Source organism: Homo sapiens, chromosome 13 (genome assembly GCF_000001405.40).
Source record: "Homo sapiens chromosome 13, GRCh38.p14 Primary Assembly".
Taxonomy (NCBI): domain Eukaryota; kingdom Metazoa; phylum Chordata; class Mammalia; order Primates; family Hominidae; genus Homo; species Homo sapiens.
The window spans coordinates 99294171-99315763 of NC_000013.11; the positions used below are offsets into that span (position 1 = coordinate 99294171).

The 21593-nt window shown below is 39.5% G+C and overlaps 2 protein-coding genes across 7 annotated transcripts in view, besides 4 other annotated features; one reads left to right on the plus strand and one right to left on the minus strand.

Annotated features, from left to right (window-relative positions):
* The window catches only part of UBAC2 (UBA domain containing 2), a 185651-nt gene that overhangs the window by 93317 nt on the left and 70741 nt on the right, over positions 1-21593 (plus strand). For all 6 annotated transcript variants that reach the window (NR_026644.2, NM_177967.4, XM_011521083.3 and 3 more), the window contains one exon: positions 19927-20050. Coding sequence is in view for 5 of the 6 variants with exons in the window: in NM_177967.4 (NP_808882.1) it covers positions 19927-20050 (124 nt within the window). In the remaining variant the exon portion in view is untranslated. The remainder of the gene's footprint in view (positions 1-19926; positions 20051-21593) is intronic.
* GPR183 (G protein-coupled receptor 183) lies at positions 369-13229 on the minus strand. The gene is made up of 2 exons (NM_004951.5): positions 13170-13229; positions 369-1993 (listed from the first exon to the last, which is right to left on the minus strand). Exon 2 carries the CDS (start codon positions 1973-1975, stop codon positions 890-892), a length of 1086 nt encoding a protein of 361 aa, NP_004942.1. The 5' UTR covers positions 1976-1993; positions 13170-13229; the 3' UTR covers positions 369-889.
* Positions 7944-8003: a silencer, noted in NCBI's record as "silent region_5470". NCBI's record gives its function as "represses an Ori minimal core promoter by ATAC-STARR-seq in GM12878 lymphoblastoid cells {active_cell/tissue: GM12878}" and the evidence as "EXISTENCE:reporter gene assay evidence [ECO:0000049][PMID:35858748]".
* Positions 9328-9876: an enhancer, noted in NCBI's record as "H3K27ac-H3K4me1 hESC enhancer chr13:99955752-99956300 (GRCh37/hg19 assembly coordinates)". NCBI's record gives its function as "activates a minimal SCP1, AML or CMV promoter by ChIP-STARR-seq in primed H9 embryonic stem cells {active_cell/tissue: H9 hESC(primed)}" and the evidence as "EXISTENCE:reporter gene assay evidence [ECO:0000049][PMID:30033119]".
* Positions 9877-10423: an enhancer, noted in NCBI's record as "H3K27ac-H3K4me1 hESC enhancer chr13:99956301-99956847 (GRCh37/hg19 assembly coordinates)". NCBI's record gives its function as "activates a minimal SCP1, AML or CMV promoter by ChIP-STARR-seq in primed H9 embryonic stem cells {active_cell/tissue: H9 hESC(primed)}" and the evidence as "EXISTENCE:reporter gene assay evidence [ECO:0000049][PMID:30033119]".
* Positions 19993-21192: an enhancer, noted in NCBI's record as "P300/CBP strongly-dependent group 1 enhancer chr13:99966417-99967616 (GRCh37/hg19 assembly coordinates)". NCBI's record gives its function as "activates an origin of replication core promoter dependent on BRD2, BRD4, P300/CBP, MED14 and CDK7 cofactors, with strong dependence on P300/CBP, by STARR-seq in HCT116 cells {active_cell/tissue: HCT116}" and the evidence as "EXISTENCE:reporter gene assay evidence [ECO:0000049][PMID:35650434]".

Consider the following 21593-nt stretch of genomic DNA (forward strand, 5'->3'; position numbering starts at 1 on the left):
CCTACTTGATAACTCAAACCATTGAAATACAGATGTAGAGTACTAACAGCTTGGGGGAAGAAAAGAGAAATGATCCCCTAGTGATCCCAAGAAAACCAATCATATAGGCATGTCTTTTATTCTCAAGATGAATTTAGCAAGCAGACCCTCCTCCCAATGGGCACCTCCATATAAAGTCTTTTTCATATTGCTAAGCAGAGGCCCTAAAAGACTGTGCTGGCAGCTCCAGGAAAAGCTCAGTGCTTTCATTGCCTCAGTCATCATCATCATCATTTATAATGTTGCAGTTCAAAGTCTATTGCCAATTATCTTTTCCCTGACACTCCCACTGATAGTTGACAGGGAGCATTGAGGGACAGACTCATAACTTTGCAGCATCCTGCTCTTTATTCCAAAAGAGTTCCTTAACAAAGTTTTATGACCCAGAACGAAACAAAACAAAACATTGGTGTTATTGAGGGAATTAAATCTAACATTGAGAGAAATTTGGATTTAAGAAATATGTTATTTAAAAAGTATGTTACAGTATTAACATCTGGCAATATATAATCTATTCAGTCCTTTCTAGCCATTTGTTGGCAAGAAATAATAATTAAATTTTTTATTAAAACAAAACTTTTTACATTGGGAGTTATTAAGAGCGCCTCCTTTTGGTGTATTCGTTTACAAATAAAAATGAAATATTTATTTGCATTTTTATTGTGCTTTATGTTGTTTGCTTTATGTTGTTCTCTTGGGCTTACTTCCGAGTTGGAGATGGGAAAGTGCCCAATGAAAGAAATATAAAAGAATACTAATTGGAAGCTGAACAATTATTTTGCTTTATAAGGGAAGTCCTGCAAAGTTTGTCATACAGTTTACGTCACTATAAACCAAAATACAATCCATTTCACTTTCCATTTGAAGACTTGGAATGTATCATCATCTGCGTTTCTGTCATTTCACGTGAATTTTCTTCAGGGGCTGACTTCACAGCACTAGAAATCGATACACTGACTTGCCGTTTCAGCATCCTCATAACCTTTCTCTTATACCCTTTACATGCAAAGAAGTAGATAAAAGGGTCCATGCAGCAATTGAAGTTCATCAGGCATACTGTAAAGTGCAGAGAAATCTGGAACGAATGTCTTTGGCTACATTCCAGGAAATTAGAGAAACGAAGCTTCTTAATCATATGTTGAATAATTGCAACATGGTAAGGTGTGAAACAGAGAACAAACACAACAATAATAAGAATAATTGTGTTGAGAGCCTTTTTGTTTACACCAGATTTCTCAGTGAGTGGGTTTTGTTTGGCAGTTCTGAAGAGTTTGCAGCAGATCTGAGAATAGCAGATGAGAATGATTATAAGTGGAAGTACATATCCTATGAAACATGCCCCAAGCAGAATCCAGGGAAGAGATTTAGTTTCTTCAAAGTTTGGATACTCCATGCATGTAATCCTTTCAGCCTCCTGCTTTGACATAGGGTTGATGAGGAGTGGGAGTGTCTGAGCAAATACTAGAATCCAGACAAATATGCACACGCCTTTTGCATGTTCAATCCTTTTTATCTTGTTGTAGCGTAGAGGGTGCACCACAGCAATGAAGCGGTCAATACTCAGGCAGGTCATAAAGTTCACACCTGCATATGTGTTGATGTAAAACACTAGCGCAGTTATCCTACACAAGGCATCTCCGATTCTCCAGTCAAAGCCCATTGCATAGTAGGCTATTCGTGTAGGCAAAGCGGTGGTAAAAAGTATATCAGAAATCACCAAATTTGTTGAATAGAGGGTGGTAGAGTTGATTTTTTTCCTGTTTTGAACAATGACGACCAAGGCTAGTAAGTTTCCCACGAGCCCAATGATGAAGACGAGGCTGTAATGCAGAGGCATTACTATCCTGGCCGTGCTGTGATGTGCATAGAGGTCACAGTCATTTCCCTGAGGAGTTGCAGAGGGCGGAGTAAAATTGTTTGCCATTTGTATATCCATTGGTGGTGGTCCAGGTGTCTAGAAAAAAACCAAGAAGGATCATATAAGTAAAAGCATATGTATTCAGTTTGATTACTCATTAGTTTTAAAAAAGTTTAAATAATGTATCAAAGCAATCCAAACTGTCTTTTATATATCTAAGTTTTAAAATTTCATGACATGCAATTTTTAACAGTTTATAATTATAATATGGTTACATATATGATAACAGGAAGAACAGAATAAAATTTGTGTTTTTACTCTCACAATTTGCTGACTTTGGCAAAGCTCTGGCAAAGGAAACAGAACCATTTAAATAGGGCAAACGCACTTTTGTGACAGAAGGGAATGCACTAAATTTTTAGGCAGAAATTCCCCTTCCCTTTTTTGAATCATTGTCTGGTTAAGTAAAGCACCCCACATTTCAGACAGGCATTAAGCTTTGCTTTTAAATTTAATTTCAGTTGGATTTTTTTTTAACCAAATGCATATCACTGCCAGGAAATGAAATCAGTCACCACATTTATGTAGTGAAATATGAACTTACCACAGTGATCTGATTTGTGTTAACCTAAAAGTCTGAGAAATAGGCTTAGTCCATGTTAGGAACTGAAAGTTAGATTTTCTTTTTAAAAAGAAGAAGACGACGACCGCAACAACCATGACTAAAATGACAAAAAAAGAAGAAAGATAAAGAAAATGAGAGAGAAAAAGACTTAAGCTACTTCAAGGGGAAATTATTAAATTTTAAAACTCTATCAATCTGCAAGTACTCCATGGATCCATGCAATCTATACTTCTACCTTTGCACATAGTAGCAAGCATCACACTTTATATTTTGTTTCTTGCTTTATTCACCAAACATCTTCATGTCAGTGCAATGTATATATTTGTCGTGTATATTTTATATAAACATTTGATAGATATTCTACAGTCTTCCAATGTGTCAATGCATAATTTGCTTAGCTACTCCCTTGATGAACTTTTGGATTCTTTCCAATTCTTTTCTTGTTATAAATAATGTTAAAGCAGAAATTTTAAGTACTAAATTGAAAAATGGAAAACTCCTACAATAAAGTTCTGTAGATGAGGGTAAACTTTGATTAAAGCAGGAAGAACAGAGCAATAAATCCTGTGTGATTATTTTTAAAAGAAAAATAATTCCTCTGATAGAACTGTGTGTACATAAATCTCACCTGGAAGTCACCAAAATTAAGGGGCACTTTCAGCATATCTAGTGATGTTGCTACTGTATATTTAAAGAACTATACAGTATTTCCTTAAAGACTATCTCTACCCTGATCAAAAGCACTGTCTGCAAATCTGCTTCTCTCCCTGCTGTATTAAATGACTTGGATCTCAGCTAACTTCATTCTAACAACCTTAAAACTGAGATGTTCATAGACACTGAGGGTTAGCAGAGGATTGTGGTCATGTTATGTTAGAGGTATGCATTCTGTACAGTGTTGATAGGTTAGTCATTATAACCTAAATGGAAATAAAACCTAAAGCAAAAGAGAGCAAAAATGGAAATAAAACATTTTATTATCCAGAAAAGAGACAATGGGAAAAAAACAAAGAATGAGGATGGTAAGTAGAAAACACAAGAGGGTAGGGATGTGTCACAACAAACTTAAATGGGTTGAGCTTGCCTATTACAGGACAGAGACTATCGGTTTAGATTAAAAAAAAAAAAATTCCAGCTGTTTGCTGCTTAGAAGAGATACAGCTCAAAGTGATAAAGAAAGGTTGAGAATAAAGGCAAGAGAAAATACATACCAGGCAAATCCCAACCAATAAAAAGGTAGTATGGCAGTATTAACATCAGAAAAAATAGAATTCAAGGCAAATTCAATATTAATAGGAATACAGAGGGTCACTGCAAAGGTTAAAAAGAACAGTCTACAAAGAATATAAAAATAATCATGAAATTTGCATGTAACAGCAAAATTTGACGGAATTTGAAGGAGAAATTGGCAAATTCACAACCATGGTGGGAGATCTTAACACATTTCTATTATGATGTGCTAGATAGAAAAGAGATTAAAGACTTATTTACTCAACATGATTTAAAAGCTAACAGAACTTGTACTGAAGACACATGAGCATATATGCAAATTTGACCATGTGCTAGGTCACCAGAAGACTCAAAGCTTTCAGAAAATAGTTATTTTCTGATCACATTGCTTGACTACAGTGCAGCTAAATTATAAACCAATGATAAAAAGATAAAGGATAAGTTTGGAAATGAAAAAATACACTTCTAAGGAACTCATGGGTTAAAGAAGAAATCACAGTGGAAATTTCGAAATGCTTAGAACTAAATGATGAAAGTACTACCTGTGAAAACTGTGGGATGCAGATAAGGCAATCTGAGATAGATATAAAGCCTTGAATGCATTTATTTAAAAAAGGAAAGATTTAAAATATATGTTAAATATACAGTTCAAGAAGCTAGAAAAGAACTGTTTGTCCAAAGCAAGTGGAAGAAAACAATAGAGATAACTGCAGAAATTAATGAAATATAAAAGACAATAAATATCAGTTTTACATTTTGTGCAGGAAAAAAAATGGAGTGGTTCTTAAATAGAAAATCATAGGGATTTCATTGTGGAATAAAAGTAGAAAAAGATTTTTCCATTTAGTTGGGAAAGGCTTCATGTGAAAAGCAGCTTTTCAGGAACTAGGACTAGACACAAGAGAGAGGTGAAAATTCCAGGCAAGGGTTGCAGCTTTGGAATAGGCAACAATAACTTTTATTAATATTTTTCTAAGTTCTTTGAAAATGTATTTTTTTCTAAGTTCTTTGAAAATGTATTTTTTTCCAAAAATCTAAATGTATATTTTTGAGTATTTCTAAGCAGATTCATGGGAATTGCCTTTAAAATACATGGCAGGAAAAAAATACTTCACTGTAGAGTCTGCAAATCCTCCATATGAATAATTATTATTGTAGAAATTAGGAAAGTAACACTTATGTGACACTCAGAGGTGCCATTGCTTGCCAGTTTGTATACAAATGCGTGTCTGACTGCATCACCAAATAAGATGCAGCATCTAGCAGAGCCAGAGATTGCAGGAGTTTCAGAAAAAAGTTCAAGAATGTTTTACATAGTTTATAAACAGTTCAAATATCCTTCATTAGGGGATTAAATATTTTATGGCATAGCCATACAGTAGAATACAGGAATACAGCCATGCAGTGAATACAGTGCAGCTCTGAAAATGGCAACATGAAAATGCCTGTTTCTTGACTGGGAATTATGTTAAGTGAGGAAAGCAGATTATACAACATGCCACTTTTTTGGGAGGTAGGGAAGCAAATACACACACACACGCACACACACACACAGAAAGATGTCTGTATGCCAAAACATAATTTTGTATGAGTAATTTTGGGGCTTTACTCATATATTCTAGATTTTTAATGCTGAACGTTTCTATTCAGAATGTTCATTTCTAGTCAGTGACTGGAATGAATAAATAGGTAAAAAAAATTTTAATGGGAAAAAATTTTAGTTCCCCTTTTCTTGTAAAAACCTTGTTATCTGACATGCTTTTCAAAGCTTGCTGTTCAGTGTTCCTTTTTCAGATTTCTGCATTGACTTACTAGTTGTGTACCTTTGCATTGTGTCATCATGTAGAAACCTCACAGCAGCCCTATGAGCTTGAGCATTGCTACCCCTTATCTACTTCGCAGGTGATAAAACTGACAATAAATATCAATTTTATATTTTGCACAGGAAAAAAATTGGAGTGGTTCTTAAAAGCCACGCTGGGCTTAAATGCCATGCTAGATCCCTCTCTGTGATGACCTGGCTTCAGGTTTCTTCCTCTGTTCAGTCCTTAGCACAGGCAGCTGTTTCATGCTGCCCTTAAAGAACTGAGGGCTTGTGGTTTCAAAGTGGTCTAGGCTCTAAGGGCCATCCTCAACTATATCATGGCACATGCGCAACATTGCCCAGCTGCTCCAGAGCAAAGGGACAACTCCTTCTAAGGGCAGGGGGTGCCCACTTCCAGGAGAGGTGCCTTCCCAAATGGGAAGCCACTTGTGGCCACACATCATTGAGCTCCAAGGGTAGCCTGTTGAGGGTCCTTAACTGACGACCGTTGTGCACTGGAGGTGGCCAAAGAAAGGCATTTGCAGAATGTGGACGTGTAAGTGGGATGGCTTGGAAATGATCTTAGGTAAAGGTAAATGCATGCTTTGGATATTTGGATGTTTAGTAACCTCTTGAAGGATGATTCCGCTAGCTGGCCCTAATATGTCACTTTAGTTCTTGCTTATATTTATCCTGTGTTATTAATGTGGTAGTTTTAGCCAATTTTATGATCCCAAATTGAGAGGAAAATCCTTTCATATGCGTGACTGTTACTATCCCATTCTTATATCAGCCAGTCCCAATTTATTATAATCTTCCCTTAGAGATATTACTTTATATCTTCCTTTAATCATCTTAAGGATTCCTTTCTGAAACTTGAATTAAGTCCATTCTTTCATTCAGCAGGAAAATGGTTTTTAGTGCCTCCATGTGCTAGATGCTGGGAATACAGAGATGGTACCTTTTTGTATTAGAGGGTCTGGAACTGAAGGGTGAATATATAGCGTTGAACATGTGCTGTTATCTGAGTGAGGTGTTCCTCAGGATTTTTTCACATGCATAGCAGTATGTGCTGGGTTCCTCCTCATACACAGCAGTACTCTGCTCACTTTGTGCATTACAGTGCACCAGTGTCAATATTTGGATAGTATAGTTATCTTTTAATTATTTTCAGGTAGAAAATTTATTCTTAAGTATATTTTAAGTATTTTACATTTTAATTATTAGGCAGCAGCTTCTGACATGTTATTTAAGATATATTTATATAAACTAAGGTATACTAGAAAGTATTATCATTTATCATTGTATTGCCTAGGGAAAAGCCCAAAGAAATGTTAGTTCTAAATCTTTTTTCTTTAGAACACTAATATCAGAATTATAGCTTCCTCATAATGCATTCTAATGAAAAGATGCACGTGGCCCCTCAGCCGTCCTTCGTGCTGCCCACACTGAGGGACAGGAGTCAGGACAGAGGCCTTTCCCTGGAGGGCATGGATAATGACTGGGCCACAGGAAGCCTGGATCCTTATTCAGGTTCCACCTGTGGAACAGGGCCCTGTCGGCCTTCAAGGCTCCTGTACCTTCTGCTGGGAGCCACCCTGGAAGCCATCTATGCCATTCTCTTATTTTTATTGGTAAACAAAGGAGACAATCCCAGTTTTGCCTCTGTAATGCAGTACTTGGTCCTTTTAACTTTACTGTTATCCTAACATGTGTAAAACAGTAAGTTTCTTCCTCAGCAAAATATCTTCCAAAGTATTTTTACTTATGCTTTGAGAAGTGAGCCTGTGTGTTTTTTTCTCTAGAATGTATTTCATTGCTAATAGAGTTGCTAACACTTCTTGAGATATTATCATCTCATTTTTGCATAACCGGACATGTTGACATGAACTGACAGGTTCTTTCTAGCCGCAAAAGGAAAAAAAAATAAAAGGCCCCCCAAAACTCATTTATTTAGCATCTAAGAAAATCCCTAGATACCCACTTGGAGGGATTTGTGATTTTTCACAGAGGACATGTACCTTCCATGGTCCTAATTTACTCGTTCAAGTAATTAAAGTGTTTTCTTAGCCTTTAATTTGGGCAGAAACAGAACAAAACCTTTACCATATTCGGGGATTTAGTTGGTGCTAGAATAACAGCTTTTGGTTTTTGCTGAAATGTCACCTTTGCCCTCTAATATTTATTTATTTTAATAATCATCAACACCTTGAATGAAAAGGGGCTTACCTAGGAATTCTGTTTAATTGTAGCCACTAGCAATGACTGGAATGGGTCAAGTTGTGCTGAGATGATCACCAATTGGAGGTGACTTCTCTGTAGGTCAAGTCTTCTCTAGAGTCAGCTTATACAGAGAGGTGACCTAAATCAATGTGCCCACAGTGGATGTACCAAAGAGGAACTTCCAGAAGCTCACTTTCAAAAACAGCCAGGGGAGCCACCCAGATGCAGCCACACAGATACTAATTATATGTGTATATTGTTAAGTGAGGAGTGTTTGATCTGATACACTGTCCTTGGCTACTTTGAGGAAAGGTTAAGACTGAGGAAAAATTTCTGGAGCAGGGAGAAATAAAATCATTGGAAAGGAGGGGGAAGATGAAAGCTCAGGGTTAATTGAAATTTCAAAGATATGGTTCTACTGAGGAAATAAAGATAAGCACAGATGTATCAGGATGGCAAGCTGGGGCTGTTTCAGCTCCCTTGAGAACAAACCTGCTCCAGGGAAGAAAGAAATCATTCATTACTTCTTCCTCTGGTTACCTGGTTTGATAAGTATTTGTCAATTATTTGAAAACGCCTTCTTGTTCAAACAGGGGCATCTAAATTTGGCCCAGTGTCACACATACTGGGTCCTAGCATTCAACTAGTGATTTTTCTCATCACCTTTTTCATTGACTAAACAGCCATCATCTGAGGGATTATGGGTGTTGTTTGCCTGTAAAATGGACAGTGGGAAACATGCATTCCTGGTGTGCAAGAGGAACCTGCACTGCTGTGGAGCTGTGACCAGCATAGTCAGAGCCTCCTGGTGCTTCATTAGTAAAGTCAAATTGTCCATTCTATTAATAATACGCTGCTAACCAACTGTCACAGTAGTCAGTACATGCCTCTGTGGCCTGGTTAAATACATCTTTGTACACTGTAAGGTGACTTTTTCCCAGCCAACTTTGAGTCCTAAATTGATAGCTATGTTTATGTCCATGATTCATTTTTTAGAAGGATTGAGAACAATGATATTCAGCATAGAGTTGACTGTGGTCCGTCTGTTTGGGGGACCTCCCCTGCCTCCTGGGGGCTTGCTTTCTGGCTTATGGAGTGTGACTAGCCGAGGGGCTTAGTAGAGGCAGCCTTATTGAGGAGCTCTGTGACCAGCCTGCCAACCCCATTGCATATCCTGGGTCAGACCAGCTCCCAATAGATCTGCGAAAGGCCATTTATAGGACCAAGTACAGAGAACTTCTTCAAGACAGAAAAAGACAGAAAAACATCTTCAAGACTGAAAAAGGGTTTAGCAGTCTACTGTTTCCTCTTTGTGCTTTATATGTGTCCTGAACCCAGTGGATGTGCAGCAAAGACCCACTTCGGCTTCATAGACGCGCTCCTTGGAAATGATGGAAAGGTGCTTGAGCACGGGAATTCTTTGGTTGAACACCCACTTGCACATTTGGGGTTTCACATATTCTAGTTATTTTCTTTCACCTTTCACTGGTAAAAGCCACCTATGTGGCTTTTGGTGGCTTTTATATTGAAAAGTATGGAAGTTATTGAAGATGAAGATGACATATGTTTAGAGAACTAAGAAACTAAGAATCCCACCATAATACTCATTTTAGTGTAAGAAAGATATTCTGTGTTTGTATCTGGCATGATTTGTAGGATGCAGCATGTGGGAAAACTGCATAATATAAAAAGGCTCTTTATAATGAAGCTCTGTGTCTATAATATTTCTCCTCTGAGTCCTGAATGTTTCTGGAAATAATATGTACCTTTTCTCTTTCAAGTTCAAGGAGTTTCAATTTTGTTTTTGTCTCTTATCAGATGGAAATTAGGGAGGAACATTAAATATCATTATTTTATGGATAAACTGAATTCCAGGTCAACTCGGTCATTCGCTCAGGGATCTTACTGTGGTACTCAAGGCAGGGGTCGTGAAGGCGCCCAGGACTCCGTGTTCTCCCTCACCTGCTGCCTCTGGTCAGCGAGCAGTCCCTGTGCCTCAGCCTTGTGCTCTGCTGCACATCCGTGTCTGTCTGTCTGCCTGTTGTGTGCCATTCCCGCCCTTCTGCCCGCAGCCACGGCAGCAGCTTCCCGCCAGGCTCTCAAACGGGGCCCATCCAACCCCAGGCAAACCACAAGCTCTGTGTCATGACACACAAGTTCCCTCATGATCTGAGCTCCATTCCTTCTTCAGGAGGGTTGCTGGTCAGCTTCCCCTGATCGTGGCCTGGCTCCAGGCATGCAAAATTACTTAGAACCTTTGGATATCCCACGTTCCCTCACAACTCTGTGCCCGGTAACATTCTTCCCTCTGTTTGATGTCCTCTGGCCCCTATCCTGTATCCTTAGCTCTTACTTTCCTTCAAGCCTTAGTTCTAAGTATCCCAGGAGCATTCCTGTTCTCCATCCTCTGAAAGGCAGTGTGGGTGTATTTGTGAGAGTGCTGTGCTCTGTCATAGTGTCTGCATCATTGATTTTCTTCCCTGTCTCCCATGAGCCTGTGAAGTACTGTGAGTGGGGACCCTATGGTGTTAATTTCTTGTATCTCTAGGTGATGTATGATCGATATTCAATAAATACCCATTAGTTAAAGAATAGCAACATTGCAGCTTTCTTAATCCTTAATGAAAGGTTCTTTATTACACCCCAGTAAGCCCTTGATGAATAATAATCAATTAAAATTACTAAGCAGAGACTGTGTTCCAGGCACTGCCCTGGGCACTCTATGTGTGTTTACTCATTGAATCCTCTCAGAACTTTCACAAGTCCATTGACAGAAGGTGAAACGGAGGCACCAGGGCACTTAAGTGACCAAAGACCTAGCTGTTAAATGTTAGGATTCAGACCCAGGCAGTTTGGCTTCAGAAGTCACATTCAGTACAATACATTTTATCTCCTATTTCCGACGTGATCTGCTATTATGGGTAGAAAACAAGTAAAATAGGAAGGCATCTCAAAACCTTAACGTACACTAACTCATACCTATCTGAACAAGAGAGACTAGGAGAACTGGGGGAAGGGAATGGGAGCAGGGAGGAAGAGATGTTGATTCAAATGAAGGAGTTTATTAGTTTATTTGTAGCATATTTTAAAGTAAGTAAAGGTTTTATAAATGGATTTAGAGTACTGTTTTAACAGTATTTTAATAATAAAACAATTTAGACTGAAATTTCGATTGAAAAAAGATGGTGAATATCTAGAATAGGCTTTTATGCTGTTAATTGATTTTTAAACTACTTTTTAGATATTTGCAGAGATTTAACAAAATATTTTTATTCTTCTCTTTGGGCTTCCAAAACACCACAGCCATCTGTGTTACTGTCACAGCTTTCAGAGGATTCTCACATGTGTTATCTCATTTTATACAATGCCCAGACTTCTTGAGAAGGTGATAAACCCCCCAGACTGGAGAACACCACGCGTCCTCTACACAGGCCACGTCCAGGGCTGCCTAACAACTCCAGCAGGTCTTAACCATAGCAGAGAGAAAAGTATCCCTGTAAACGGCTTTATTAGGTGCGAAGCTCTTTTAAATGTAAGCTTCTTGAGGATGATGACTTGATCTCATCCAACATTTTATCCTATAGAATGCTACAGAACCAACCTACAATAGATATCTAGTAAATATCTATAGAATAAATAAATGAATTAAAGTCATATAGAAACCTGAGTTAATATTTATTCCATTAACTGACTGGTCATGGTACTAATTAGCTCTAGGAAGCCAGATGAAAGTAATTTATGCAAGGGATCATTACCATTGTCACTAACGCGATACATAAACATGTGAGTGAACATTTTGTGGAGTAGCATATTCTTTGTGGTTTTATGTCCAAAAAGTGCAGTGAACCCGCAGAGAGAAAACATGCTAAAATATAAGAAGTGTGCAGTCCTACCAGTAAGCACAGTTAGATGTGTGATCATCCATAGACTCAGGGCCATTTATTTATTTATTTATTTATCTATCGAGACAGAGTCTCGCATGGTCGCCCAGGCTAGAGTGCAGTGGCGCAATCTCGGCTCACTGCAACCTCCGCCTCCCAGGTTCAAGGGATTCTCCTGCCTCACCCTCTTGAGTAGCTGGGATTATAGGTGAGTGCCACCGTGCCTGGCTAACTTTTATATTTTTAGTAGAGATGGGGTTTCACCATGTTGGCCAGGCTGGTCTCGAACTCCTGATCTCAGGTGATCCGCCTGCCTCGGCCTCCCAAAGTGCTGGGATTACAGGAGTGAGCCACCACACCCAGCCTGATTCAGGGTCTTTATGTAAAATATCCATAACATATCTGTTGGATTCACCCTCTGGTACGTCAGTGGCCAGAGAGATGGGAGAAGAATGATGGGAGACAGTTTTTTAGCACTTATAATGAGAGGCAATGTTGTAAGGACTTGGCAGTAGTAATACTCCCCATTTTACAGGTAAAGCAGCTGAAGCCAGATATTAGGTAACTTGTGTGTGGGGGGGCCACACAGCTTGTAAATTTCATTTGATCCTGATTTCAGAGCCCTTGCTCTTATTACACTATATTGTACTCAGAGTGACACCAAAAAAACAAAATACCACGCCCCCCTCCCCCAACACACACACAAACACACATATATAAAACCCTCACTGCCCTTTAAAGGAAGTCTCTTCACAGCTTCTATTTTGCCAAGTTTCTGTTACCACCATTCCCAACCTGGACATAAATGTTGCCAAAGCACTGCATAGAATTCATTGTGATTTTTTCCCCTCAGGCACATAGAAAAGATACGTTTAGTCTAAGTAAACACAAGTATAAACCACACAACAGACTTTTTTTTCACTTATCTAATTAGTAGTATTTAGCATTTAAAAAGCAAAGATTGGTACTCTTTGCTGGCGGGAGGGTAAATTGGTAAAATGTTTTTGTAGACCAAAAAGTACCGTTTTATATCTAAAGCTTTAGAAAATATACCCTTTGCCCTAGGAATTCTACCCCTGAGATTCTATCCTGAGAAATAATCTTATATTTCTAATAATTCCTATAGCATAGGAATATTCTATATTAAAATAACTTTGTTCCTTTTCCTTCATACTAAGTTATCCTGAAATATTGGCATTATTTGCATAGTTTTGCTTGATACTGTCTTTTGTCATTGTGAGTTTATACAGTAGTACATGAAGTGAGCCCTATTTTTTGACAAAGATATTTCTGGTGGACCCATCGCTTTCAGTCAACTTTATAAGAACTAACTAGACCTACCAGTCAGCAGAGAGAGTAAACTTACATTATTAATATAATTTTTGTTAGAAGTGATGGTAGCTTGTTCTTAAATAGATTGTTTTCCTTTTTACCTTTTACCTTAAAACTTAGGCTTTTAAAGTTTTTCTTTAAAAAGTTTGTTGAAAAAGCAAAAGATCTTGTACTTACATATCAGTGACTCGTTCGGGTCTCTGTGTAGTAGCTGTGAGTAGTTGTCCAAACTGAAGTAAGTTTTAACTGTGGCATGTTGTTTTAAGAGAGGCTGTGCAGACCTCCTTTTATGGTGGTGACTTTTTTTTTCTCTGTCACCCTGTGACTGAGCATGTAATGAGCAGTTAGCCTCGTGTACGTGTGTGCACTTTGTGTTTTTTTTTGTTTTAAATGGGAAGTGAAATTTTTTATAGTGATTAAAAAAAACTATCCAAAAGCCCCTTGGAATTTATGAATTGTTGATATCTGTGGAACTTTATAAATTTTTCTGTAAAGGTTTAAGTATCAAAAAATTCTTTGAAAGAGACTGAAGCAATAAACCTTAACCAAAAAAAAGACCAAGTTACTGATGATTTTATATTGATTTTGCATGTAAAAGTATGGGTTTTTAAATGTTTTAAGGAAAATAGTGTCAACTTTGACAGTGCTTTTTACCTGGAAACTTGGTATCAGGGAGTAGTTTACACATTCCACCTTATCCACAGCTTATGAGAAAGAAACAGGTTTCTGTGGCGTGGGGGTGAGTGACAGTCCAGGATGTGGAGTGGACTGGATTAGTCGCCGTTTTCAGTCGAGAGGCTGCCTGAGTCAGAGGCTGTGTGAGTACTTGAATAACAGGGAAACAGTTGAAGGGAGGCCCATTATAGATAAAATCCAGCCTCTTCAGCACAGGGTGAAAGAGACTCATGCCATTCACCTCATAGTTGTAGTTGACTCAGTTTAAACCAACTAACGTGTCTGTCAGAATGCAGTTTATTTGTAGGCTAAATTACCAGATATGTAGCACTCAGATCAGGAGAGGTGATGTTTACACTTAGTCAGGACTGATCTGGCCATTCCCAGCCACTTCTGGGTGCTGCTTTTTACGAAGACATAGATAACACCTGTGGCAGTGAGGGGCCTGGATAGCAGGTCTTAGGAGAACTGATTAAATAAGCTGGGGATGTGTATGCTTTGTAGGCATAGGGTCATTATCCTTATGCTTGTGGAAACTCTCATAGAAAAGTGTTTACATTGCTTGTGTCAGTCTTCCTAACTCCAGAGACTAGCGGGAGGGTCAGTAAGAAGTTACTGGACATAGCTTTTGGATCAAAAGATGAGAGTCATTCCCAAAAGTTGTGATTATTTTGAAAAATGGAATATGCTGTTTCTTATTTAGATGCTTGAGTAAACTTGATGATTTTGAGGGATGATGTAAACAGAATTGAATCATTTGGTAGGAATTTGTAACTCTGTGATCTCAGAAGCCTTTCTGCTCCAGGATTCTGTAAAAATAGTCGAGTAGCTTTTGCCTCCCACAGATGTCATTAGGTTCTTCTAACGTCTAAAGTGCTGTGAGTATGGAGGAACATTGTCAGACACAAGAAAGAGCATCAAGCAAGTCAGCTGAATTCTTTGGGCCGCCACCTCACTGTGTATAAAATAAAGGTATTGAACTAAATGATCTCCAAGGTAATTCCTAGTACAAAAATTCTATGAGGGGGTAATACAGAGATTTTATGACTTGGTGGATAAACATGACATCATATTCTAGAACTAGTTCATTTAAAACTTAGGCTGCAGAGTACTTGAAGAAGACACTGTTGATAAATTTTTCAGTTTGTTGAAAGACCATTCTGGTGGGGTTTTGCCTGTTAATTTTGAAATAGTTATATTAAGTAAAACATTTTTATATAGTGAAGGACTCAGCTAGTTCAAGTAATTCCTCTGACAAACTGGATCTGTCCTCCCAACCTTCTTTTTTTTTTTTGAGACAGAGTCTCGCTCTCACCAGGCTGGAGTGCAGGGGTGTGCTGTCGGCTCACTGCAACCTCCACCTCCCGGCTTCAAGCAATTCTCCTGCCTCAGCCTCCCGAGTAGCTGGGACTACAGGCATATGCCACCATGCCCAGCTAATTTTTGTATTTTTAGTAGAGACAAGGTTTCACCATGTTGGCCAGGATGGTCTCAATCTCTTGACCTCATGATCTGCCTGCATTGGCCTCCCAAAGTGCTGGGATTACAGGTGTGAGCCACCGTGCCCAGCCCCTTTTTTTTGATATCAGAGTAGTCAGGCAGATGAAGAAGAGGTGATGGGGTCATTATCCTGTAAGAGGCCGCTGAAGCTGTATATTAGATCATTTCATGAGCTCACAAACCTTGTTTTTATTGCTGTTGAAAGTTACCAGGGTTTCTTGAGTTGTGATTGTACTGTAAAAGTAGAGTTGGCCTTTACAGTTTTTTTGTTTGTTTGTTTGGAGACAGGGTCTCACTCTGTTGCCCAGGCTGGAGTGCAGTGGCACGATCTTGGCTCACTGCAACCTCTGCCTCCTGGGCTCAAGTGATCCTCCCACCTCAGCTTCCTAAGTAGCTGGGGCTACAGGCACATGCCACCACGCCCAGCTAATTTTTGTATTTTTTTGTGTGTGTGTGTGGAGACAAGGTCTCATTATGTTGCCCAGGCTGGTCTCAAACTCCTGACCTCAAGCCATCTGCCCACCTTGGCTTCCCAAAGTGCTGGGATTACAGGTATGAGCCACCACATCCAGTGACCTTTTCTATAGAAGAAGTGAAATGGACATTTGCAACCTTAACAAGGTGTCTCTGTTATTTTATGTTTTCTATCGAGTGCGATCATGAATATATAGCAGTAGATGCTCAGTAAATATTAGTGATTTTAAAGGATGAATTAGCAATGGCTCACGCCTGTAATCTCAGCAATTCAGAAGGCTGAGGCAGGAGGATTGCCTGATGCCAGGAGTCTGAGATCACTGTGGGGAACACAGCGAGACCCTGTTTCTAAAAAAAGTTTAAAAATTAGCCAGGTGTGGTGGCACACACCAGTAGTCCCTGTTACTCTGGAGGCTGAGGCGAGAAGATTGCTTGAGCCTAGGAATTAGAGGCTACAGTGAGCCGTGATTATGCCACTGCACTCTACTCCAGCCTGGGTGACTGACAGATACCGGTGTCTCAAGAAAAAAAGAAAGGATGGATGAAATGTTTATAACCTGCTTTCTCTTTTCTGTGCTACCAGCCTCATCTGCTTAAGCCAGAAAGGGCTTCCAGAAGGTAGTTCTTCACAGTATGAAAAAGGTCAAACTGAATTACTGTTGACAGTATAGAGAACAGATGTTGTCATAAAATAAGGAAAAGAAAAAGACTGGTCAGTGACTAATAACATTATGGTATTTTGTGAAGTCTGTGTGTGTAGAAATAGCAACGGAAAATTTCTGCAGAACAGCCCATATAATTTTGGTCTGAAATGTGTATGTGTGGCCTAGTATTTAGTCATCATTTAAAATTATACAGTGATTAATATTTTTAAAGGAGTTTTTAAACTTCTATTGGTATGTGAAATGTAAACTGTGGTCATTAAAATTTCTACCAGTATTTTTTTTAGTTTACGTTGAAATGTAACCTCAAAAAAGAACTCTGCTTTAGGTTATTTAGTTATAACATCACTATTTGTACTTTATTACTAAATGTAAACAGAAGAACTTCTATGAATTAAGCGCCTCCAAGGGCATGTTCTGTGGTAAGAGACCTCTGGTGCGATTGGCTCCCCAAATAGGGTTCTATAATCACCAAGAGAGCAGGCCATATTTTGAGCTACATATGAAACCATGTGTTTTAATCCCATTAAAAATGATAAAAAGGAAGGGGGCTTTTTAAAACAAAAGGCAAGTTCTGCTGTATGGTTTTACTGTTTTAAAGGAAAATTCATTTCTTCTGCAAATATTTATTGAAACCTTACTCTATGCCAGGCACAATTCTAGACAGTGGGAATAAAACAAAACAGACCAAAATCCCCATCTATGTGAAGCTTCCATTCTACTTTTAAGATAGATAGGCAGTGATGAGAAGGCTGTAAGTGCTGTGGGGGAGGACAGTCAGGAAGAGAGTAGAGAATGCAGAGGGGGAAGGCTGTGAGGGCGGGAGGTGCGGTTTGAAATGGGGCAGTCAGGGAGGACCTCTCTGAGAAGGTGCTGTCCTGCGGAGCACAGGATCAGAATGGGGATGGAGATTCAGGGCCTGGGACGTCTTTGTCATGACTGTAGGTGGGGAGGCATTGGAAGATTTATGCCCAGGAGTGACTAACTCATACTTTTCCATGAAAAGAAGGCCCAGCTGTTTTAATCAGTTGTGCTTGGGTTTATAATTGGACAAAAGCAGTTCTTCTGTGTAGTATTTAAAAACTGCTTTGTTAATTTTAAAAAATCCAACCAATATTGAATATGGATCATGTATAAGAATCTGCATTTGGCAAACCTAGATAAAATATGATGCTTTCTCTCAGAATTAATAATCTAATGGGAGGTTTTTGAGAACTCTGTATAGTCAATTCAAATGTGAGTCATACAGTTGTTCTAGAATAAGGATTATTTTGTGGCCCTAAATGTAGTGAGCTCCTAAACTGTGCCAAGCATTGTGCCAGGTGCTAGGAGAACCAGGACTGCCTCTTCTTCCCTGTCCTGGGGTGCTCAGCCTGGGAAGAAGGACTGATACGTGAGGAATTCTAGACTGGGCAAGTGGGGGTAGGAACCCGCTGTGCCGTGCACCTCCGTCTGCCACCCAGTCCCTGCCATCCTTCTCACTGGATGGCTAGCCAGGTGTATCTCACATCTCTGTGTCCCCAGTCCTGACACAGTGCCTGCACTTAGGCCTTACTGGCTGGAGTTTTCCCTGTTCTAGCATTTGCTGCGTTTGTGTTGATAGCAGTTGATGCGGCTGCCATTTATCACATTTGTTTTGTGTGTGTTGTATTTTGGTTTGGTTTTGTTTTTAACAGTAGAATTGAGAGGACAGTGCATTTTTTAAAATAACGTAGTCTCTATCAAGGATGAGAAATTGCGCAAGAGGCCAGGAGGGTCCTGTGTTTCCACAAAAATGGCACCAAGGACAGTTCTTTGTAGAAGTGAAACATATGTTTTGCATTTTTCTCGTGATAATGAAATAATTCTTTTTTTTCTGGTGCCATTTTCCCAAAAGTGGGAAAATAAAACACAGACTGAGTAATTAAGCCAAGTGTTTAATGGAAAACAGGTGCAAGCTTGTGCCCAAACCACTCTACTCATTCATATTACCTGCCTAGCACTTGTAGGAATGTAAGATTTCCGTCCTGTGATGAGTTCCTTGAGGTCAAGGACTGCTTCTTTCTCTTGGACGTAGTTGTAGCTCCTGTGCTGGGCATCTTACCGTGACATCCTTGGCACGCATTTGATTCACTGATTCATTGCAGTGGTGAAACTGACATAGCTTGGGGGCCACGAGGAGAGCCACCAGCTGCCAGGAGGAGTCAGAGAAGTCTTGTGGGAAGAGCTGAGCAGTGTTGCACAAGCTGAGTTTCCTAGGCAGGAAAGTGGAAAGCAGAACCTGCGTCAGTGGAGAGTCAAAGCAGCCAGCGTGTTCAGGGAGCAGCTGTGTGGATTTTTGAGAGGGCCTTGTGTGTGTTGGGCCAGATGAGGGGAAGCAGAGAGGAGGACAGTGGTGGCAGACTCCAGTGATGAAAGCGAACTGGGGAGCTTTGCCATCACATCTTTATGAAGCATTTTATCTTTGGATACTGGAGCCTATGGAAGGAAGGGTTTTTTTGTTTTGTTTTTTATTTTTTTTTGTTTTTGTTTGTTTGTTTGTTTTTTGAGACGGAGTCTCGCTCTGTCGCCCAGGCTGGAGTGCAGTGGCGCGATCTTGGCTCACTGCAAGCTCTGCCTCCTGGATTCACGCCATTCTCCTGCCTCAGCCTCCCGAGTAGTAGCTGGGACTACAGGTGCCCACCACCAAGCCCGGCTAATTTTATGTATTTTTAGTAGAGACGGGGTTTCACCGTGTTAGCCAGGATGGTCTCCATCTCCTGACCTCATGATCCGCCCGCCTCGGCCTCCCAAAGTGCTGGGATTACAGGCGTGAGACACTACGCCCGGCCGGAAGGAAGGGTTTTTAAGCAAGGGAGTGTTGTGATCAGAGTTGTATTTTAGGAAGAGAGTACTGCCAACAATGTTAAGAAATGGATTAGAGAGAAGCAAGACTGTAAGTAGAAAGACACATAAGACTTTTGAATCTGTCAAGGTGAAGGTGTCAAATTGACATTCAGAACCAGGTGAGGGGTGGGCAGGCAGTTTTAGGTCTCACTTCATTTTCTTAGCCCAAGCTATAGAAAGGGTTGAGATTGTATGAGGAGATGAGAGAGCAAGAAGAAAAGGCTATAATGGAACCATGGAGAAGCCAGAAGAGTGGTGTAAGAAATCACTGGGCAACCACTGAGAAGCAGGGTTTCAGACAAAGGGAGGAAGGAATGTGAGGAAGGGAGGGCCAGAGGTGAACCGTGCCAGTGCCATGGCGACAGATCACTGGACAGGGCTTGAGATGAGGCTTTTGGATTTGACTGAAGAATTCTAATGTTTGCTGCTTTCGATTTGTCTAGTTTCTCTCATTAGATTTTAGTAATACCTGGGAAGAAAACATAGCCTCCACTTTTCTCACACTTAGTAGGTGCTGAACCACTTCTTTGCAGTGGTTTCAGGAGGGTCAATAAGGATAGAATGATTAGAGTTTTCATAAAGTGTTCTATAAGTACAAATTATTTTGGACATGAATCATATTTGAAAATCAATATGTATATCTAAGACCATGCTTTCAGACTGAAATAAAATTATAAGCAGTGTTACTTCAAAGATACATCTGCCATTTGTGTTTAAAATTCACTATTATAGTGATTTTTTTTTATTTGTTTGCATAGCCTGGCACCTGTGTTTGCTCTGTTTGTACCATTTTACTGCTCCATACCAAGAGTCCAAGTGGCACAAATTCTGGGTCCGTTGTCCATCACAAACAAGACATTGATTTATATATTGGGACTGCAGGTACAGTATGCATTTTTATGTTCACTTTTCTTTAACCAGATCTTTTTTTTTTTTTTTTTTGGTCTTTTTCTCATTTGATCTCCTTGAAAACAATGGTTTTTTTCCCCCCATAATCTTGGCTTCATGATCTATATCAAATGTTTAAAGGAAGTGTTACAGAACAAGAACATCAAGGTATAGAAGATACTAGAATACTTTCATAGTCTTTAGAAATCTGATAAGAGCTTTCACTGTAATTTGTATCTGTGGAAAATATTTTCATTTCATTGTACAATTGCATGTGCGTACTTTTTAACAATCATAGTATGAAGTGGAAACAAATGAGAACAATCAAAAAGTAGAAAGTAGAAAATCAGTGTCAAAATTAATTTATTGAATACAGTGTCGCAAATAAAGCTCTGAAGAAGAAACCCGGTGTGCTCTACCAACCCGAGCTTTGGGGTTTTCAAGAAGCATTGTCAGCTTGATTATTTCCTTGTTTGTGAAGCTGTGATGGTAGCGTCACCATTTGCTAAATGGTTTGCTGTGAAGACTACTAGAGTACTACTGTCCAGGTTACATTTGAAAAGCTTCTTTGCCAATCCTCAGCGAATGTCAATTGCTCCCTGCTGGGCTCCAGGTCTGTGGTAGGAGAATGATTTTCAGTTTTCTATCTGTACTACCTGTCACTTTTCTTTTACTCTCACGGCTTTTGATGTAGTTTTATTCTACAGCTTCCTGTGTCACCATGTGTCGCTTGGCCTTTTGATCCACTGATTAATACTCATAACATTCCTTATCCCACGCACTCTAACCGGATACTGGCGTCACTTCAGAATGCCTTCCTCCCTCCCCTTTTAACCTTTAGCATTTCCTCTCACTTCTCCAGTCTGCTGTCATGTGTTATCAATGGCTCATCTGGGGCGTTTTCTTACCACTTTTACAACCGTTTCTCATGAAATCTTTTTATTCTCCATCTCTCAACCCCCGTACCGTTACACGCCCCCTGATCCTACCTGATATCCATGTAACCAAATAGCCCGTTTCTGCATTTGATTCTTATGAGTAGGATTTGCTATAGCAGATTTAATATTTTTAAAGTTGTTGTGACAGAGGCCATGTGGAATTCGAAGAGCACTCCAGACCTCCCTCAGGAGACCCAAGTTCTAGTCCTAGCATGGCTGTCTCCAGCCATGAGACTTGGGTTGAGTCATGGAAACCCTCTGAGCCTCACATTCACTGTATAGTTCTTCCAACTCTAAAGCTATGTAGAATCTTTGAGAATGAAAACACTGTTTTATTAATTGTGGAGTAGGAGTTCAGTGTGGCATTGTGGAAAGTCTTTGGAGCCAGGTTGTTGAATTTCGGTTTAATGACTTGGTCTGGTAATGATTTGCTTTGTCACTTACTTTTTCTGAGCCCCCATTTCCCCATCTATCAAATGGGGATGATAATATCTACCTTACAGAGGTATTTTAAAGATAGCATGAAGTGTTTAGTGTAATCTGAACAGATAATAAGAGTTAAGTCAATTGGTTACTATTAATTAATAATTTATATCTCT